This window comes from Homo sapiens, chromosome 12, assembly GCF_000001405.40.
Source record: "Homo sapiens chromosome 12, GRCh38.p14 Primary Assembly".
NCBI classification, from domain to species: Eukaryota; Metazoa; Chordata; class Mammalia; order Primates; family Hominidae; genus Homo; species Homo sapiens.
In genome coordinates, this window is record NC_000012.12 from 57846881 (window position 1) to 57868609 (window position 21729).

The 21729-nt window shown below is 49.1% G+C and overlaps 3 annotated features.

The window, feature by feature from the left end:
* Positions 1–80: a silencer, noted in NCBI's record as "silent region_4597". NCBI's record gives its function as "represses an Ori minimal core promoter by ATAC-STARR-seq in GM12878 lymphoblastoid cells {active_cell/tissue: GM12878}" and the evidence as "EXISTENCE:reporter gene assay evidence [ECO:0000049][PMID:35858748]".
* Positions 151–330: a silencer, noted in NCBI's record as "silent region_4598". NCBI's record gives its function as "represses an Ori minimal core promoter by ATAC-STARR-seq in GM12878 lymphoblastoid cells {active_cell/tissue: GM12878}" and the evidence as "EXISTENCE:reporter gene assay evidence [ECO:0000049][PMID:35858748]".
* Positions 18336–18695: a silencer, noted in NCBI's record as "silent region_4599". NCBI's record gives its function as "represses an Ori minimal core promoter by ATAC-STARR-seq in GM12878 lymphoblastoid cells {active_cell/tissue: GM12878}" and the evidence as "EXISTENCE:reporter gene assay evidence [ECO:0000049][PMID:35858748]".

Below are 21729 nucleotides of genomic sequence, written 5' to 3' on the forward strand. Positions count from 1 at the left end.
GTCCTAGGCCCTGGGACCCTCCATCTGTGAGCGGCCGGGGCTGCGGACAGTCGGGAGCTTTGCTATTTTGTTACGGAAAAAGCGAATCCTCAAGGGGGGTGGGGTGGCGGGCGGGCAGGCTGGCGGGGGAGACTTGAAACCGTTCCGGTGCTCCGATTGGCTCTCTTGGAGAAAAGGGGCGTGGCCCCTCCTTACTATGCGGTGAGAGGACCTAACAACATTCCAGGCGCCACGGCCACGCCCCCGGGCCACTCCCCCCGCGCCAGACTGCGGCCTCCCAGTCTCCTCGGCCACACCCCCTTCCCAACTATTTAAAAGGCCGCTCCGAAGCTCACGTTCTGGTGCTCTGTGCTGGGGTGTTCTTTTCTCGGAGGGCGCACTCGGGGAAGGTGGAAAGGTTTCCCCCTTCAGGGGTGACCAAGACAAGCCGCTAAGCCTAACCTGACTCCAGCAGGGGATGGGGCGGATCGGAAGTTACCTTACCCCCCTGCTTAGCCCTAGAATCAAGGACGTACCAAGTCACATAAAAGTACAACCGTCGAGGCCAGGCGCGGTGGCTCACGCCTGTAATCCCAGCACTTTGGAAGGCCGAGGTGGGTGGATCACGAGGTCAGGAGTTCAAGACCAGCCTGGCCAAGATGGTGAAACCCCGTCTCTACTAAAAATACAAAAAAATTAGCCGGGCGTGGTGGCGGGCGCCTGTAATCCCAGCTACTCGGGAGGCTGAGGCAAAGACTTGCTTGAACCCGGGAGGCGGAGATTGCAGGTAGCCGAGATCGCGCCACTGCACTCCAGCCTGGGCGACAGAGCGAGACTCTGTCTCAAAAAAAAAAAAAAAAAAGTACAACCTTCGAATCCCGAAAGGGGTGTGTGCGTGTGGGCGGACCTAGGACTCCAGAGTATAAGAGCTGGAACTGACCTCGGGACTGTGTCCCCCAAAACACTGAAAATGAGACCTGAGGTGCTGGGCTTTCCTCACACCCACCGACTTACTCCCATTTAGGCGGCCCCGACTCCGCCCCTCCTCCCTACCTCCCTCATCCTACCCCTCTCTTTTTGCCCCCACAGTCCCAGCTTCCTTTAGATGGATGGAGGTCTCTCGGAGGAGCTTCAGCTTTGTGGACTCAGGCTGCCTTCCCCACTTGCTCTTTAGGCCTCGGGGCACGCTCCGCTGGCTACAGCTCCTGGAGTCTCTGCTCAAGGTTGTGGGTGCTTTTGTTCCCCAGCGGTGGTAGCTCCAGAAAGGCTGGTTTCAGCTCAATATCAGGTCTTTTCCAGTGATCTACATCTGTCCACAGGTGACATGGGCTGCCTTGGGACAATGGTAGCTGTTCAAGTCAAGGCCGGCAAGAGTGGTGTAGAGTGAGATTGCACTGGGTGACTTCTGAGCTAAATCCAACCCCAATATTCTGTGATTCAGTGGCACTCACCCTGCCAAGGAAGGGGCTTCCTTCCTGCTGCAGTTCCCATTGCCCAACATGCATCAGGTCTTACTGATGATTAGAGGACAACTAGGTCACAGCTAAGCTTGCCAGGTACTATCAGACACCTGCTTCCTATGGTCCCTTCCTCATGAGGACAGGTGAGGTCATGATCTGCATATGCCTGTGTGCCATACAGTGATCATGTGTGCCTGTTTCTGCTGTTCCTACGCACGTATACAAAACCTTTTTATATAACATCATTTTAATGGAAATGCTGTTTTTCCAAAATGAAAGTGGCTGTTACAGATCTGAATGATGCTTATGTAACTTTAAACACTGAATTTGGGTAGATCTTAATTCATTAACAGAAAGGGAAACGGAGGAGTTCTGACATACCCACCTCCCATCATTAAAACAATAGGATCTTTAAGGTAAATCTTCAATAGTCAGGTTGCTATGGGGGCCTTTTTAGACCCTTCCCCTGCCCTCTTCTAAGGTAGATTAGTTGCAGTGGGAGGAATGCAGGCAGGAGCTGAGGACTGAGGATTTAGAGGGGCCTGCTACCCATAGCACTGTAGGGCAGGACACTTCACTTCGTTATGCTTCCATTTCCTCATCCATAGAGACAATACCTCCCCTTTTGTAATTTACAAAGTACTTTCACATATATTATCTATTTCATTTGATCTCTCACTTCTTTGAGGTTGATAGAGCAGATATTATGCCCATTTTTATAGATGCCTGTTTTGTAAATGAGGAATTGGTCTGGGAAGGTTAATTGACTCACCTGAGACCTCACAGCTTGTTAAGAAGAGGAGACAGGATGTCTTTGGACTTTAAGACTAGAACCCTTGACACTTTAACATAGTTCCCTTCTTATCTATAGGATGGAGGAGACACTAGAACCTATCGCTCTCTTTTCCTGCTGTGAACTCCAATTGCATCACCTCTCCTGGAAGCCCTCCCAGATGCCCGCCCTCATGTCAGGGTTTTATAGCCTCATACATACTCTCTCAGACCACTTGGCACCCTATCTTGCAACTGTGTGCTTATTGGCTTCCCAACCAGAAGGTGGATTGAGACTAGGGGATGTCTTATTCTTTACTGGATTTCTTGTGCCTAGCAGAGTGCCTAACACAGAACAGGTGACTTGTACATGTTGAGATGAAGTCTCACTCTGTTGCCCCAGCTGGAGTGAAGTGGCGTGATCTTGGCTCACTGCAACCTCCGCCTCCCCGGTTCAAGCAATTCTCCTGCCTCAGCCTCTTGAGTAGCTGGGATTACAGGCACCTGCCACCATGCCCAGCTAATTTTTCTATTTTTAGTAGAGATGGGGTTTCACCATGTTGGCCAGGCTGGTCTCAAACTCCTGACCTCAGGTGATCCACCTGCCTCTTGGCCTCCCAAAGTGCTAGGATTACCAGTGTGAGCCACCATGCCTGGCCTTGACTTTATGTCTGAACCAGTGTTCTTTTGTCCAGGGATTTGTTCAGTGACCTACAGCAAGAAACACATTTTATGTTGTGAGATAAATGATACAAAAGTTTCATGGACAATACTTACCCTGGCTATGTGTGCACACTCATATTTTCTATTGCACGTATTGTGTTCTATTTGATGGTTTTAAGGTGCCAGCCATGACCTTTTAAATTGAATTCACAAACCACCACCGGATTGTGACCCAGTGTTAAAACAATGCTACTTTCACTCCTGGATGCAGTAGATGCCTTCATGTGTGTCTCAGGGCTCTGGCTGTCCCTGAAAGATGCAGAGGAGATGGTCCTCAAGCATTTCTTGCTCTGAGGTCAAAGAAAAATTTATGTATAACAGATAGAACCCCTTCCAAGGCCAGAGGCACAAGGGTACAAATAGAACCCAGCAAGGAGGGGTAAATGAGGGAGGAGGGGCAGTTCCCAAGAGGCCTGGTGAGGACCCCTGTGCTTCCAGAGACTACAAAAGCAGTGGAGGCGCTACTGGAGCCTGGAACCCCAAACATAGGTGGGGCTTGCTCTCTTGATGCCACAGGCTTCTCACTGCTCTGTCCACAGATGACTAGGAAAAGGTCTGCACTCTGGAAAGCTCTGTAGGGTCATGGTGGGCCTCTTTCCTATAGTTGAAGTGGTGAGGGTGGTGGGAGGCAAGTGGACCTTCTAACTTCTGCCTAAAATAGCCTCAAAAATAACATCCTGCCTACGGGGCCTGGGCCAGTTGCTGGTTGTGTAACTTTAGGTGGTTCATTTTAGGTGGTTCAAGGGAGATAGCTGAAGCCAGGTCTAACAACTCTCCCAGGAGAAAGCCCACTGACTCTCACTTGGTTCCCTACCTGCTGTATCCCCTTTCCTCTGGCCTCTCTGACTGCATGGTTGGTAAGAGGCAATTTGGAAACAACAGCAGTGTCCCCATTACCCCCAAATGCTAGAATGGGGGGCTATGTGGGGCAAACATGGAGTGGCTGTCCCTGTCTGTCTCCTGCTGTGGCTACTGAAGTCGGACTGGGTGTCCCGAGCCAAGGCTGGCGAAAGGGAAACAGCTGGAGGAGCTTCCTCCATGGGAGATGCCTAATTGCCCTTTTCCCCACAGAAAATAAGTACAAGGTTGGGCTACCGACCTTTCATGATTATCTCTGATGTCACTGAAATATTACTTTTTTTCTTAAAAACTTTTTTTTTAAAAAAAGGAACACATTGATTTTCTTGGTTTTTCTGATTGTCCCTGCAGTCTCAGTTCTGCTTTGTATTGTTCATGAGTAGGTGGATGTCAATGCCAAGATTCCAGAGCTTGGTGCCCTCCTGTCACAAGGCTTGTATGGTATGGTCCTGTCCTGGCTTCCCAGGGCAGAGTATCGGGGCTGAGATGGGGTGGGGTGAGGGAGAGAGACCCAGTGGCTAATGACTGAACTGCTGTGAGGGTGCCAGATGCTGAGGGCTGCAGAGGGAGGGAGGAGCTAGTGGTAGCGGGGATAGCTCCTCTGTGCAACAGCGTGGGAAACCTCACTGCCTGCAAGGTGCAGGCATGCTCATCACTCCAACACCACCGCTTAATTACTTAACCTCTTGACTCAGTTTTCCCTTAAGATGGAGCGAACAATAGTACCTACTTTGTAAGTTATTGTGAGGATTAAATGAGATGATGTATGAAGTGTTTATGCCTGAAACACTGAGTGCTTAATAGACACTATGCTCATCATCATCATTCTCCTTTCCTCCAAAGCTGTTCCTTCTGCATCCATCATCTGCCCAGTTCCCCAAGCCAGAAACCTGAGGTCACCCAATTCTCTCCCACCTAACTCATGCCTACCCCCTATCAGTCCTGAAAACCAATGGCTCCTCCACTCCCAAAGGTTTGTCAGGCCTTTTCCTTCTTTCCATTCGCATGCATGACTGGCTGCTGTGTCAGGGGAGGTTGGCAACAGGCTTCTCATCAACCTTTTTCATTCTCTACATCCCAAATTCAAATCCATTCCCAGCTCTCCTAGAAAATGCAAATCTGACTCTGTCTTGTCCTGATCCTGTCTGTATGGAATGATTCAGCAGTTCCCTGAGACTTCCAGAAGGAAGCTTAGATGCCTAGCTGGGCACCCATGGTCCCCAAGATCTATCTCCTAGTCAGCCTGCCCACCCCATCTCCAGCACTTTCCCCCACAGCCCCCTGTGCTCCTGTCAGGAGGAACTAAATGCCTGGGATCCTGTTACTGACGTCCTATGCCTCCCTACCTTTGCACAGGCAGTTCTCTCTGCCTGGATGCCCTTTCCCCCTCCTCTGTGAGCTAACTCCTTATCCTTGAAGATACAATTCAAGTGCCACCTCTTCCTCAAATCCTCCCAGGTCCCAGTCTGACTTAGAAGCTTCTTGGAGCGCCTGTATTTTCATTCTGGTTTACTTGTCTGTTCCCCCACTGCAGTGTAAGCTCCTTCAGGGCAGGCGCTGTCTCTTTTTCTGCGCACCCCTAATGCCTCTCACAGAGCCTGGCACACAGTGCTCTGTTGGAAACCAGTTCCAGCGGGCACCTTCCTTTCTGGGCACTGCTGATCTCCCTGGGGCACTGAGCCTGGGAGGCGGGATGCCAGCCTCCTAGGCACTTTCTCCACAAGCCAGTCAGTGATGGAGTTTCAATTCAGGGCACAGCCTGCCAGCACCCTGCCCATCACCCCAGGCAGCAGCAAGCCGCCCAGGAGTCAGATGAAACAAGACCGAGGCCAACTGAGGCTTGGAGAAACCCACAGGCACACCTTGCCTTAGCATTCAGGAAGCGCCTGGGGCGGATGAATCCGGAGCAGCGCAGCCCCCCGACCTTCCCACCCCCACAGTCAGTGTTGGGGAAGTGTGCCATAAGGACAAAAATAACTACTGGGGGCCAGAGCCGGCGAGGTTGGCCGGGATTCCTGCCTCCCCTCTACCCACATCGGGAGCAGCCCCCTAGCCTCGCCCCACCCTCCGGTCCTGGGCGGCCACGTGACCTGCGCCCCAAGCAGCCACTGAAAGCCTAGCTCCAGCCCTTCTCCTAAATTGGGAAGCGACGAGACCCGATCGAGTTTCCCGGCCGGTATTTACATGTTCCCTATTTACAGACCAAACCTCCCTCTTCCCACGCTCCTCCCTGCTCCGGCAGTGGGCAAAGGAAAGAAGGGGCCTCTCCTGTGCCCCACCCCCACCTCTCCAATCCCCTAGCCCGGGTGCTCTCCGCCCTTCCCTCCCTCCCTTCCCCGCCGCCTGCTGGCCCCTTTGGGGGCACAGCTTAGGTCGCTGTATTCCAAAGCCCGGGTGGCTCTTTGAGGTCAAGTGGCGTGGTGGGGGTGGGGAGGGGACCGCCCTGACCGGGGCGGGCGGCCTTGAGGTCTTTCAGTGATCAACAGATTGGGGGCCCTTCTCCCGAGACCTCCCGGGGGCCAGCTTCGTTCTGGCCTCAAGAACTCAGTGGGGAGGCAAGGCAGGTTTTCACCCTCCAGCGCCTGCGGTGCTAAGCGGTCCTCCAGTCCTCCCTGTACCCCCAGCCCAGACTGCATACCCATCCTACTCGAAGACACTGGCTGGGAGTCACCGGGGCACGTGAACTTGAAGGACTAGAATCTCAACTCTTGGCCTGCAAAATGGATGGGAAAGTGAGAAGACTGGGAAGGGCCAGCCACTTAGTTTAGGCCAAGATCTATCCTTGTCAAGCAGGCCAAAGTCCAGAGCTAACTGGGTACCCTCTGTCGAGCCTGGGTCCTAGACCTCTGAGAGCTGTACTTTGGGCCTAGGGAAAGGGAAACTGAGAGAGGATTGATTTCCTTCAGAACTGGGTAGACAGATATTCCCCAAGCAGCTCATTCCAGTATAGTACAAACTCAGATAGCTAGCAAAGCCCTGGAAAAGCCAGCCACCATAGCTAAGGCAGGAGGATTGCTGGAGCCCAGGAATTTGAGGCTGCAGTGTGCCATGATGGGGCAACTGCACTCCAGCCCATGGGACAGAGCAAGACCCATCTCTTAAAAAAAAATTAAGCCCTGTACTGGAGCTGACCCTGGTCACATGAAGGGGCCCTGGCTTCTTTATGGGGTTGAGGCAGGAGTAAATGAATTGGAAGTGGAGCACTGGCCACAGCCAACTTATTTGAGAGGGTGTGACCTTGTAGGAAAGAGGGAGAGTAGATGGTAGAATGGAGATGGCAGAGAGAGGCAGACTTTAAATATTGAGGGGGAGCCTGCATTTTTTGTGACTAATTAATTCACTCAAATCCTTTTTGAGCCCTTACTAAAAGTGAGTCATGCATTCATCTATTTGCATAATTACTGACTCCTTAACCATGCACCAGGCCCTGTCCTGAGCCTACAGTGAATAAGACAGAGTTTCTGGCCTCATGGAACTTACAGTCTAACAGTGAGGGGCAGTTATGATACAAAGTGCTAAAGGCTCCAGCAGGGAAAACAGAGGAGGAGGGGGCGGGGAGGAGCAGAGGGAAGGGGAAGAAGGGGAGGAAGGAGGAAGAAGGGGAGGAGTGCGAGGAGGGAGAGGGGGAGGGCAAAGTGGGGATAGCTCAGATGAGTGGGGAGAGCAACAGCTATGGAGGAAATGTTATCTGAAGTATAAACTAGAGTTCAGCATTTGGAAGGGAGAAGAGGAGGGAAAGCTAGCCTTCCAGGTAAGGGGCACTGTGAGTACCTGTAAAGCCTTAAAGGCATGTTGTAGACACTTACTTTTAATTAATTAATTAATTAATTTTTGAGATAGGCTATCCCTCCATTGCCCAGGCTGGAGTACAGTGATGTGATCACAGCTCATTGCTGCCTCAACCTCCTGGGCTCAATCAATTCTCCTACCTCACTCTCATAAGTAGCTGGGACCACAGGTGAGCACCAACACACCTGGCTAATTTTTAAATTTTTTTGTAGAGACAGGGTCTCTCTGTGTTGCCCAGGCTGGTCTCGAACTCCTGAGCTCAAGCAATCCTCCCACCTTGGCCTCCCAAAGTGTTGGGATTACAGGTGTGAACCACTGTGCCTGACCTCTAGAAACTTATAGTTCAGTACAGCCACCCAGTTGATGGCTGCTACAGGAACAGGAGGAGATGGAGAAATTGCGTTTGTGAGTGGAAGAGGGTTAAGCTGGTGATGAATAATACCTGTCCAGACAGGGTGAGGGTGGAGGAATTCCTGCTCCTTTGGGTCCACACAGTCCTGCAGGTGTGCTGTAGTGGAGATTGTGGCACCAGAGTTATAGTTGCTTTAGAAAATCAGTATTTATTTTATCAGGATAATACATACACATAGCTGAAAAATCAAATAGTGCTAAAAGACTTGTAACGCAAACAGAAGTCCCCCCGGCTTTTCTCCCAGCCCTTATCCTAGTCCCTAGGGTCAACTGCTTTCAATTCTCAGCTGTTTTTTTTCTGGTATTTCCTTCCTTATTTCTACTTTTTTTTTTTTTTGAGACGGAGCCTTGCTCTGTTACCCAGGCTGGAGTGCAGTGGTGCTATCTCGGCTCACTGCAACCTCCGCCTCCCAGGTTCAAGTAATTCCCCCTGCCTCAGCCTCCCAAGTAGCTGGGATTCTAGGCGCACACCACCATACCTGGCTAATTTTTGTAATTTTAGTAGAAACGGGGTTTCGCCATGTTGGCCAGGCTGGTCTCAAACCCAAGACCTCTGGTGACCCACCCGCCTCAGCCTCCAAATGTGCTAAGATTACAGGCATAAGCCACCATTCTTGGCCTCTTATTTCTAAATAGTATATGTACTGCCATTCTGGATTCATCTAATTTGTTGACTTCTTGTCTTGGTAGTGGAGGATTTTGATTCTCTACTCGCTTCTTCACCTCCCCCACTTGTCAGGCCTCTGAGCCCAAGCTAAGCCATCATATCCCCTGTGACCTGCACGTATACATCCAGATGGCCTGAAGCAACTGAAGATCCACAAAAGAAGTGAAAATAGCCTTAACTGACGACATTCCACCACTGTGATTGATTTCTGTCCCAACCTAACTGATCAATGTACTTTGTAATCTCCCGTACCCTTAAGAAGGTTCTTTGTAGTTCTCCCCACCCTTGAGAATGTATTTGAGAGATCCACCCCCTGCCCGCAAAACAGTGCTCCTAACTCCACCACCTATCCCAGAACCTATAAGAACTCATGATAATCCACCACCCTTTGCTGACTCTCTTTTTGGACTCAGCCCGCCTGCACCCAGGTGAAATAAATAGCCTTGTTGCTCACACAAAGCCTGTTTGGTGGTCTCTTCATACGGACACGTGAGACACCACTCACATTATGTTTATATCATAATATATAGTTAAATCCATATTCAGTGATTTCATTATTGAATTTGTAAATATTGTTTATTCTTGAGGCAAGTATTCTGGTTACATTTCCTTTTCTAAATAACTTTGTCATATACTCTGTTTATATTTCCTTCCTTGTACAACCTTTTTGTTTTTTCTGGAGTTAATTGCCTCATTTTTAATTTGCTTGGTTTTTTCTTTGAATCTCTGGCTCTGTCTTCCCACACCCTTCAACAGTTCTGTAAAACGCCCTCTCAGTACAATTTTGCATATGGCCAAACCTGTCATATAATCTTACTGGTTCTCTTCTTCCCTTGGAGACTTTTGTCCTGGGGTGCCCCATCCTTGCACTTTCCTCTGGACGTGTTGCCCTCTGGGCTGTGGTACACCTGTCATCCTGGGTTTCGCATCACCTTTGCCCTTGTCCTCTTTCCTGGACTCAGTGTTTTCTTCTTTCTTGGTTTACTCCCTTGTTTTGGTGAAGCACATCCTCCAGTAGCTTCCTGAGAAAGAGTGCCTGGGAGGTAACATTTTAGACTTTCGTGTTACTTAAAATGGCTTTATTCCATCCTCACACTTGATTGATAGTTTTGGCTGGGTATGGAATTTTAAGTTGAAAATAATTTTCCTTCAGAATTTTGAAGACATTGTTCCTTTATTTTTCAGCTTCTAATTTTGCAGTTCAGAAGTTCTTGCCATTTTGATTTCTGAGACTTTGAATTCACCTCCGCCCTTCCCCCCAACCCCCACTTTTAGGATTGTTTTCTTTTATCTTGGCTATCTTGAAATGTCACAGTATATTGCTGTGGGTTGCTTTTCATTCATTTTTCTGGGTACTTGTCAGGTTCTTGAAATCTAATACAGTGGTTCTTAAAGTGTAGTCCCCAGTCCAGCAGCATCAGTATCACCTGTGGGAACATGTCAGCAATGCAAACTTGGGGCCCCACCTCACACCTACTGAATCAGAAACTCCGGTGATAGGGCCCAGCCATCCGTGCTTTAACTAGCCTACCAGGTATTCTGATGCATGCTAAAGCTTAAGAACCTCTGTCCCAAAACAATTTATGTACTTTAGTTCTGGGAATTGCTTTATAATTTCTTTGACATTTCTTCCTCCATTTTTCCTGTTCATTCCTTCGGCATCGCTGATTACTTGGATGCTAGGCTCCTTGGATTGATCCTCTAATTTTCGTATTATTTCTCTCTTATTAACCATCCCTTTGTTCTGTTTTCTGGTAGGTATCCTCTATGTTATATCCTAATCTATTTGCTAAGTATATTGTTATTACTCTTTTTATTTTTTCTTTATATAATTTTCAAGAGTGCTTTCATGTTCTCTACCTTTTCTTTCTTTTAAGTTAATTTTTTTTAAAGAGAAAGGGTCTCACTACGTTGCCCAGGCTAGAGTGCAGTGGCTATTCACAGGTATGATCACACTATTGGTCAGCATGGGAGTTTTTTTTTTTTTTCCCGGGACAGTCTTGCTCTGTCGCCCAGGCTGGAGTGCAGTGGCGCGATCTCGGCTCACTGCAATCCTGGGTTCAAGCAATTCTCCTGCCTCAGCCTCCCAAGTAGCTGGGACTACAGGTGTGCACCACCATGGCTGGCTAATTTTTTTATTTTTAGTAGAGATGAGGTTTCATTCTGTTGCCCAGGCTGGTCTCGAACTCCTGACCTCAAGTGATTTGCCCGCCTTGGCCTCCCAAAGTGCTGGGATTATAGGCATGAGCCACCGAACCCAGCCAGCATGGGAGTTTTGACCTGCTCTATTTTCGACCTGAACTGGTTCCTTCTACCCTCTTAGGCAAGCTGGTGATTCCCTGATCCTAGCATAGCACACTACAGCCCAGAGCTGGGCTCAAGTGATGTTTTCACGTCAGCCTCTGAAGTCGCTGGGACTACAGGCATGTACCACCATGCCCAGCATTTCTTTTTCTTTCCTTTTCTTTTTTTTTTTTTTTTGAGATGCAGTCTCACTCTGTCGTCCAGGCTGTAGTGCAATGGCGTGATCTCGGCTCATGGCAATTTTCGCTTCCCGGGTTCAAGCGATTCTCCTGCTTCAGCTTCCTGAGTAGCTGGGATTACAAGTGCCTGCCACCACACCCGGCTAATTTTTGTATTTTTATTAGAGCCACAGTTTCACCATGTTGGCCAGGCTGGTCTTGAGCTCCTGACTTCAGGTGATCTGCCCACCTCGGCCTCCCAAAGTGCTGGAATTACAGGTGTGAGTCACGGTGCCTGCCCTCTTTTCCTTTCTTTCTTTTTTTTTTTTTTTTTTGAGACTGAGTCTTGCTGCGTCACCCAGGTTGGAGTGCAGTGGTGTGATTCGGCTCACTGCAACCTCCACCTCCCGGGTTCAAGTGATTCTCCTGCTTCAGCCTCCTGAGTAGCTGGGGTTACAGGTGCCCACCACCACGCCTGGCTAACTTTTTTTTTTTTTTTTTGGATTTTTAGTAGAGACAGGGTTTCACCATGATGGCCAGGCAGGTCTCCAACTCCTGACCTCAAGTGATCCGCCAGCCTTGGCCTCCCAAAGTGCTGGGATTACAGATGTGAGCCACCACACCTGGCCTCTTACTTTTTTTTTTTTTTTAAGAAATAGTTTTCACGTCCTTTGGACACATGAATTATCTCTCTGAGGATATTAACTTGAATTTTTCTTCCCCCTGTGTTTTGATTTGCATCATGCTGGAGGCTTTCTTCAGAGGTCTGGTGTTCCTTGGCTGTCCACTCCTGTTGAGAGGGAGGCTTTAGAGATCCGGTTGGAAGCTCTCCCTGTGGGCTCACAGTAGGGCAATCAAGTGGCTGGCTGGACTCCTTCATTGGAGGGTATCAATTGTCAGTGTTAATAGGCTTTTTCTCTGTCACATTTTGTTTTTTTCCAGAAAAGAATGATCTAGTTTCGTCTCCTGCTTGAAGGTTACAAGCCCCTCACCCAGAGTTCTAGAGCCAGCTATAGTGTGGGAATTAGAGAGGTGTGTGGCAGGGAGACCGGGTGTTATTGTTCAGATGCCGACTGTATTAGTCTGTTCTCACACTGCTAATAAAGACATACCCAAGATTGGGTAATTTATAAAGGAAAGAGGTTTAATGGACTCATAGTTCCACATGGCTGGGGAGACCTCACAATCATGGCAGAAGATGAAGGAATAGCAAAGGGACTTCTTACATGGTGGCCGGCAAGAGAGAGGAGAATCAAGCGAAAGCGGAAACCCCTTATCAAACCATCCCATCTCGTGAGACTTATTCACTACCATGAGAACAGTATGGGGGAAGCTGCACCCATGATTCATTTATCTACCACTGGGTCCTTCCCACAACACATGGGAATTGTGGGAACTACAATTGAAGATGAGATTTGGGTGGGGATACAGCCAAACCATGTCACCGACTTTCCCTCAGTCTTTGATCCCACTCTTTTTCCTGCACCTCCCCAACCCCTAAGTCCAGAATCTTTCTGTTTCAATATCTCCAGAATACATCTTCCTGTCTCCTACAGGAATCGGGAGGGGACACATTAAATTACCTGATTGTGCTGGGGATGGCTGGGGTTCCTGACAGTCTAATTGCTCTTTAAACAGATCTTCAAGCAATCTCTGGAGTTTTAGACCTTGCCTCAGTTTTAGACCCCTGCTTATCCTTCTGTCTTACTTGCTACTTCCAAGTCCCGAGCTTTCCTGGGTTTCCAAGGGAAGAATCAGGTTGCTTCTCGTGGGTCTGTGCCTCCAAATGTTTTTGGTCTGCCCTTCTTGGACTCTGTGGGGTCGTTTACCATTCTTCTATCCATTTTCTGTTTTCATATGATGGGGGCCAGGATTCTAAATCCTTGTTTCATTGAAGATGGACTTTGGGTTCCTGTTTCTTATTTTCCTTATCATCTTGGGGGTGATTTTTGAGAGGAGAAGGGGGCTTTACTCCACTCTCTTGTGACCAGAAGGCAGAGATGTCTTCTTGAGGTGGAAGTGGTGGTGCTTGTGCCAGACACTCTTGCTGACAAAGTGGCTGAAAGTGGGCCATATGTTAGGAGGAAGGTGAGGAGGGGAGGAGAGAAGCTTCCGGAACTTAGAAAAGCTGCTGTGGGAACTTGATTTGGAACCCCTGCCCCCCGTCCTCCCAAGAGGGCCCAAGAGGAAAAGGATTACTGGGCCCCAGTGAGGCCTGGTTGAGGTGAGACTGTGAGAATCAGTGGTAGGTTCAGCAGGGAACAGGGATGGAGACAGTGAGCAGTGGGCAGCAGCTTCTAGCTCAGAGGAGGACATGAGGGGATGGGGGCATTCTAGAGCCAGAAGGAGGGCAGTGAAGTGGCTTTGAGGCAGGCCATTGGCCAGGGAGCAGAAGAGGACAAGACAGTATTGACAGCCACTGATTAGATGTTGGTGATGTGCCAGGGACTGGGCCAGGTTCTTCAAAGCAGGCTTAGTGGGAGTGGGCAGCCAGGAGGAGAAAGGAAAGGTGGTCTAGGTCAGTGAAGGAAGGGCTGAGTCTCAGAGGTGGGAGTGGGGCAGGTCTGAGTGATGATGGAGTCTCCTGCTCCAGAGGTGAGAGACTGCTCATGTGCAGACCCATGAAGCAGGGTGTCCCTGAGGAGGGCAAGAGGTGGGGTGGGAAGAAGCAGTGGTATAATGGTTCAAGTCTTCAGAAAGAATGGCAGCAGGTGGGAGAGGCCAGTTGTTTAGATGAGTGGCCTCTTGGGAACCAAGGAAAGATACTATTTTATTTTATTTAGTTTTTAGAGATGAGGTCTCACTATGTTGCCTAGGCTGGAGTGCAGTGGCTATTCACGGGCATGATCATAGAGCACTGCAGCCTTGAACTCCAGGGTTCAAGTGATCCTTCTTTTTTTTTTTTTTTTTTTTTGAGACAGGGTCTGGCTCTATTGCCCAGGCTGGAGTGCAGTGGTACAATCTCACTGTAGCCTCTGCCTCCTGGATTCAAGCCGTTCTCCCACCTCAGCCTCCTGAATAGCTGGGACTACAGGCACATGCCACCATACCCAGCTAATTTTTTTGTATTTTTAGTACAGATGGGGTCTTGCTATGTCGCCCAGACTGGTCTCAAACTCCTGGACTCAAAACAATTCACCCACCATGGCCTCCCAAAGTGTTCAGATTACAGGTGTGAGCCACTGCACTCGGCCTTCAAATGATCCTTCTGCCTCAGCCTCCCGAGTAGCGGGAACAAGAGGTTCTGACTACCATGCCTGGCTTAAGATTTTAAACAGGAAGGGTGATCACTTCGGTTCACTTTATTTTATTTATTTATATTTTGAGACTGGGTCTCGCTCTGTCACCCAGACTGGAGAGCAGTGGCACAATCACGGCTCACTGCAGCCTTGACTTCCTGGGCTCCAGGGATCCTCCCACCTCAGCCTCCTGAGTAGCTGGGACCACAGGTGCACACCACCAAGCCTGGCTAATTTTTGTATTTTTGGTAGAGACAGGGTTTTTCCCCTTGCTGCCCAGGCTGGTCTCAAACTCCTGAGCTCAAGCAATCTGCCCACCTTGGCCTCCCAAAGTGCTGGGATTACAGGCGTGAGCCACCAAAAGGGGCCTTCAGTTCACTTTAATACTTACTGAACATTTATGTAATGCACCTGCCCCAGGTTACATAGCCTGGGGGTATAGTCGCAATGAGTCACCTAAAATACATAGCCTCTGACTCTAAGCTGTAATAACTCAGCTCTCATGCATGACTCCACAGTCTTTTCCTGACGTCCTGGGACTATTTTCTGTGTGCTTCTATATGGTCATTCTATGCCGCCTCACAGATGTTGCTGATAGCACTCCTCCTGGCTGAGAAGGCTGCTCCTGTCATCTCATCAGGCAGCCCCTGAGTGTAGCTCGGCCAGGCTTCTGTGATTACAAGCCACAGAAACCAACTCTGGCTAACTTAAGCAGAAAAACAATTTATTGGAAGGTTATTGGGCAGCTCATAGATTCAACAGCTACACTCTACCCTTCTTCTGTGCTGGTAAAGGCTTGATTTTGTCCTGAAATTTACGTGCCCTGTACCCAAGGAAGGAGACCCCCTCCTCAGCCACAGGGGATAATGTTGATGAGTCTCAGCCAACCAGGGCACTTCCTGCCTCTGTGCCAGTGATTGGTTTAGGTTTAGGCATGTGAGGCAGCGCTGGCCAAGGACACACAAGGGGAAGCCCGCTAGGCCAGGGTTTTCGGAAAGAATCACAGAGAAGCTGACTTTATTAAAGGTGGAATTAATGCTCTCTGCCTCTAAAAAATAATATACTTGCCCATTGTGTAAGGTGCTTTTAGTTGGTCTTCTGTGCTTTCAGTTGAAAGGTTCTGACACATGAAGGCTAGCTATTTTTCCTGGGTAGCAGGTGGGGCGAAAGATGGGAAAATAAGCTGATGGCTAAAGGGTGAAATGAAAAGAGTTTGCAAAATAAAGGAGCTGATGCATTTTTGAAGGCAGAAGAATTACCTAATAGAAAAGAACTGATTGAAAATGTTAGAGAGAAGGGGACTAACTCAGGGAGAAGGAGGCCACCACTCATCAAGCAGACACTTGCCATATGCCAGGCACTGTGAAAGGGGGTGGGATACAGTGATGGACAGAAATACGAGGTCCCTGCTCTTAGGGAAACTTTCAGTCTGGGTGGGGTAGAGAGACAATGAACATGTAAGTAACAAAATAAACAGGATAAGATAATGGGAAGTAATTTGGCGGGGCGGGGGGCAGTTAATTTTGATAGAAGATGGTCAAGAAAGTCTCCTCTGAAGAAGAGGAGATCCGCCCAACTCGGCCTCCCAAAGTGCTGGGATTACAGGCGTGAGCCATCGAGGGGGGCCTTCAGTTCGCTTTAATATTTACTGAACATTCATGTAATGCACCTGCCGCAGGTTACATAGCCTGTGGGTACAGGGATGGGCCAGCCACATGAAGAAACTTAGGAGGACTCCAGAAGACATCTCAGGGCAACTGTGGGCTCTGTCCTGACTACAGCAATGGAAGTCCAATGTCCATTCAGAAAAGGGAAAGAAATGGCAGCAAAGTTTGCCTTGGAGGCTCCTGCAGGCCAGGAATGACAGAGCAGCTGGAGAGATATATTTTCCCAGGGCTGGCATGGATATCACCTCCCCTGTGGCAGGACAGGTTGGGAACCCTGGTGTTGCTGACTTTCTGGAAGCTGGAGAGGTTTGAGTGGAATATTTGGAGTGCATTATATACCATAGGTGGCTTGTGCTGGCCACCTATGGTCTATAATTTGGTTGGATGTCCTTGATTTTCTACTGATAAATAGATCTGCTACTTGATTTTCTACTGTGGGTTTGAGGGAGGATACTTGGGGCCAGCAGATGAGTCACACCTCTGATCCTTACATGCCCAGCTGCCTCTGTCTCCCCTTGCCCATGCAGTCTGGAATTCCAATCTGCTCCCCTGTTTAACATCTCATCCAGTCAATAAGCGCCTCTGAAGTCTTTACTTTGTGAGTAGCATCTTTGACATGTTTGTGTCGGGTGGATACCATGACAGAAAGACAAGACTTGGCCTCAAGGAGTTTGCTGGTCAAATTCGAGAACACTGCATCTGAAACAATTTATCAGTAGAAAATCAAGGACATTCAACAGAGGTATAGACCATGGGTGGCCATCACAAGCCACCTATGGTACACAGTGCACTGGTTTATATACCATCTACTGCATTAGTCCCAGCCTCCCAAACTGGCACCAACAGTCCTCTTCTCCTTGCCCACTACTCCCTTCTTCCCTCCAAGATCCCTTTGGAGGTGATCCATCAAGTTGGAGCCTGACACATAATTTCTGCTCATCGTGTGTGGCCTTCCTCCAGTTTCCTGGGGATGTGAAGGAGGAGGGAGGGACCTGTCAGCTGGATGGAGACTTCTTTGCCCAAAGTTGATAGTACCACAGTGGGGCTCTTCACAGGCAGCCATTTTGAGACCTGTCCAGCACAAGGTTCTAGTTTTGGGGGTCCTGTCACTTAAATAAGAAAATATTGAGTGCTTGCCTTGTGCCAGTGTCTGTTTGAAGAGGCAGACCACTGTCACTTTTCTTGTATTATCTAATTCAGTCCACACAACAATTGCCTTTGGTGGGAATTTTAATTATTCCATTTTACAGTTGGAGAAACTAAGGTACAGAAAGATAAAGTCACTTATCCTTATCAAACAACTAGTAAGTAGTGGAGCCACGATTTGAACCCAAGCAGACTGCCTGCAGCATCCCTGGTCGGCACCCCTGTGCACACTGCCAAATTGTCTTATTCTAGGAATTTCCCTTCCCTGCGCCATGACATATTAAAAACTCAGCTAGAGGTCATTTTGAGCAAGGAACCCTTCTCCACCCTGCCTTTCCATGAGAGGGAGTTGGGATCCCAGAGAAGAGGAATTCCAGAAGAGGCACTGCCACTTTGGCTATTTTTCCTGCATGTTCCCCAGGCAGGGAGCGCCAGCTTTTGATTTGCCAGGTGTCTCTCTGTTCTTCTAATTAACACCAGATCCAGCCTTTAGCCAGAGCCCTGCCTATAGCTGGAATCCACCACCATGCGGCTCAGGGGCCAGTTCGCTGTGACTGCCACAGAGGACAAAGCAAGTGCTAACTCGGGGTGGAGTCTTCTGTAATGATGCTCCCTTTGCCTCATCCATAAAAAGCTCCACTCAGATCTACCTCGTTTGTGGTGGAGGCCAGGGTGGCAGAGTGTGCAGGAGAAGGCAGAATCAGGCTGAAACAGCTCCTCTTTGCCTCCCTGGATTCTTTTCCAAAATGCTGTCAGCACTGCCAGTTGGAAAATATTTTTCTCCCTCCCTTTGTCTTCTTTCTTATTAAGAAAAAAAAAAAAGCCATCTGGTGTCAAATTCACTCCTGGCACATCATAAAGGGTAGCACTAAAAATGTCCCCGAAAAACTAAAAGCAAAACCACAGTAGTACACATGGGATTTAATCTCAGCATCCTAGAATTTCAGAGTTGATAGGGCCCTCTGAGATCAAACCCTTCCTGTAGACGGGAGGAAACTGAGGCCGGGAGGGATTATGTTATTCTTTCAAAAATGTTTACTGAGCGCCTACTATGTTCAAGACACTCTTCAGGCGCCGCAGATGAATCACGAACACAACAGTGAGGCAGAAATCCCCGCCTCCTTGGAGCTTTCCGTGGGAGGTTCTTGCCTCGGCCCTCGGGCCTGCGTCTGCCGCCGTTTTTAAACGGCCCCGAAGTTGGGAGCTCTGGCTGGGCCACCTCCGGGCTGGGGGCCCGGCCTGGGGCCGCCCCTCTTTTCCCGCCCGGAGCCGCAGTGTCCAGAGGGGCGAAGTTTGCGGCCACCGCCGGCCGTGCAGTCTCCCGCGCTTCCCCCGCCGGAGCGCCGGCCCCGCATTCCTCCGGGTTGAGCAACAGCTTTTCCTCCGAGGGCGGCTGGCCGGGCAAGGCGGGGCCGCCAGCGCTGGGGCCCTCGCGGGGCGCGGCCCGAGTGTCCGGGGCCTCTGGCAGCGCCCCGGGTTTAAGTGGAGCGCGGCCGCCAGACCCTCCCCGGGGAGCCGAGCTCGGAGAGGGGGGCCGCAGAGCCCAGGCCCCAGCCTGCCCTTCCTGCAGCGCCGGCGGGATTGCCGAAAGACCAAGCGGGTGCCAGGCCTCACCCGACCTTGATGTTGGCGTTAGTCCGGGTTGACCGCCCACTCTGACGCTCTATACAGAGAGCTCCTTTGCTTCCATTTTTACTCCAATCCTGGAAATTCTTTGTCGATGAAAAGGGGACAGTTTATAGTGAACTCCAAAAGAGGGGTCCTAACCTAACCCAGCTCTTTGAATTTAAACACTTACAATAATCATATGTGTGTGTGTGTATGTGTGTGTATATATATATGTACACATACATCTGTGTACACAGACGTATGTGTATACATACATATATATGTATGCATACATGTATGTATGCATACATGTATGTATGCATAGATGTATGTGTATATATGTATGTATACATATATACACTCACACACACATATATACATACATATTTGAGACAGAGTCTTGTTCTGTCCCCCAGCCTGGAGTGCAGTGGCATGATCTCGGCTCACTGCAACCTCCGACTCCCGGGTTCAAGCAATTCTCCCACCTTAGTCTTTGAGTAGATGGGACTACAGGTGCGTGCCATGCCAGGCTAATTTTTTTATTTTTAGTAGAAACAGGGTTTCACCATGCTGGCCAGGCTGGTATTGAACTCCTGGACTCAAGTGATCTGCCTGCCTCGGCCTCCCAAAGTGCTGGGATTACAGGCATGCACCACCATGCCCCACCCTTCATATTTTTCTTTTCCTGCCTCTTAAATCTTGAGCTTAGGTCTTGAATTTTTTTAGCTTTATTTTATTTTAGTATACTTTTTATTTTGGAAAATTGTTAGATGTACATAAAAGTTGCAACAATAGTGTAGAGAATTCCCATGTACTCTTCACCCCGCTTCCCCCAAAATTAGTATCTTACCTAACCATGGTACGTTTGTCAAAATGAAGAATTAACATTGGAACAATGCTATTAACCAAACTACAGACTTTATTTGGATTTCACATGTTTCCACTCCTGTCCTTTTTGTGTTTCAGGATTCAGTCTGGGCCATCATCTTGCATTTAGGGGTTTGAAGCCTTTTAGTATGTAATCCAGATTTCATTGTGTAGAGTCTCTCCCCTTGGCAATGAGGCAGGAGGCAGAGTCCCTGGCACTGGATTGACCTCCCTGTCCTTGTCCTGATGGCCCAGGAAACACCTCGAGCCCTGGATATCCTGAGAATGCTCTTAAGGGATTCCTGCTGGGTCTGCCTGCTGGCTCTGGTAGCACCTGGTATAAATCTGGATCCCAAGGCCTGCACCTGGTCCTACTGGATGGAGACAAGGAAGTCCATGGGGTTCTTTAGAGAACACTCAGAGCTAAGGAGGTAAGCAGGTGCATGACCTCCCTGTCTTTTTTTTTACTTTTTATTTTTAAATTGAGATAGGGTCTTACCCTGTCACCCAGGCTGGAGTACAGTGGTGTAATCATGGCTCACTGCGGCCTCAACCTCCTGAGCTCAAGTGATCCTCCCACCTCAGCTTCCTGAGAAGCTAGGACTATAGGCATGTGCCACCATGCCTAGCTAATTTTCTTTCTTTTTTTTTGTTTGTTTGGAAGAGACAGGGTCTCCCTATTTTGCCCAGGCTAGTCTTGAACTCCTGGGCTCAAGTGATCCTCCTATCTTGGCCTCTCAAAGTGCTGGAATTATAGGTGTGAGCCACTGTGCGTGGCCGACTCCTACTGTCTTTAGGCATTTTGAGACCTGCTATAATTTTGGAAGTGACTAGAGTTTTACCTGAAGGCACTCCCTTCTGTTTGGTTGTGGGAGGGATCCAGATACCTGGAAACACCTGTATGGCCAACTCAAGTAGCTGGGAAGAAGCCTATGGTAGATTTCTAGTAACTACTCCTGCAGAAACCCCGATTCTTAGCTGAACACTGTCAGGAACTGTAAAGGGTCTGAGATTTTATCCTACTTACAAGCTAACAAATTAGCCCACCAGTGTCATAGCTTGTGATAGAAGCCCAGACTCCTAGGTCAGAGATGAAGGACAGTTTATTATTCACAGCAACAGCAGTAGCAAGAGTATCAGCTCTAATTCCCACAGGATTTTGCAGAAAGGGCCTGGTGATGCCTGCACACACAGTGGATTGCATTTCAAGACAGGAACCCTGAACTTAGGGAACCCAGATTTTTTAGAATGGTCCATGTATATATATACTTTTTTTTTTTTTTGAGACGGAGTCTCGTTTTGTCGCCCAGGCTGGAGTGCAGTGGCGCGATCTCGGCTCACTGCAAACTCCGCCTCCCGGGTTCACGCCATTCTCCTGCCTCAGCCTCCCGAGTAGCTGGGACTACAGGCGCCTGCCACCACGCCCGGCTATTTTTTTGTCTTTTTAGTAGAGACAGGGTTTCACCGTGTTATCCAGGATGGTCTCGATCTCCTGACCTCGTGATCCGCCGGCCTCGGCCTCCCAAAGTGCTGGGATTACAGGCGTGAGCCTCCGTGCCCGGCCCGTCCACGTATATTTTATAAGGGGCAGCATGCCTGCCCCTTTGGGAGGGAGACATTGTAGATCTTCCAAGGCTGTACACTATATCCTGAAAATGATAATCTGGAACAAAGGACAGTCAATGCCTCACTTGCAAGATGTGTAGAAATGGAATAGAATCATGGAGCATTGTCTCCCAACAAACAAACGGCCATATAAGACAAGCATACATTTCCCAACCTCTCCTGCAGCTAAGTGTAGCCATGTAACTAAATTGTTATCTATTGCGTGTGTGGCAGCTTCTGGGAAATTTCAATGACTAGCATGCACCCTGGGAGGCTTCTTCCCATCTTCTTTTCCTAATGGCTGGAATGTGGACATGATGTTGGAGCTTGAGCAGTCACGTGGGACCAGGACTAGCATGCTGAGGACTGAGGATGGCAGGGCAGTGAGGGGAAAGGGGCCTAGGTCTCTGATGGTGGTGGAGCTCACAAACTAGGTCTGTACTAGTTATCTTTGGATTTGTTTACATGAGAGAAAAA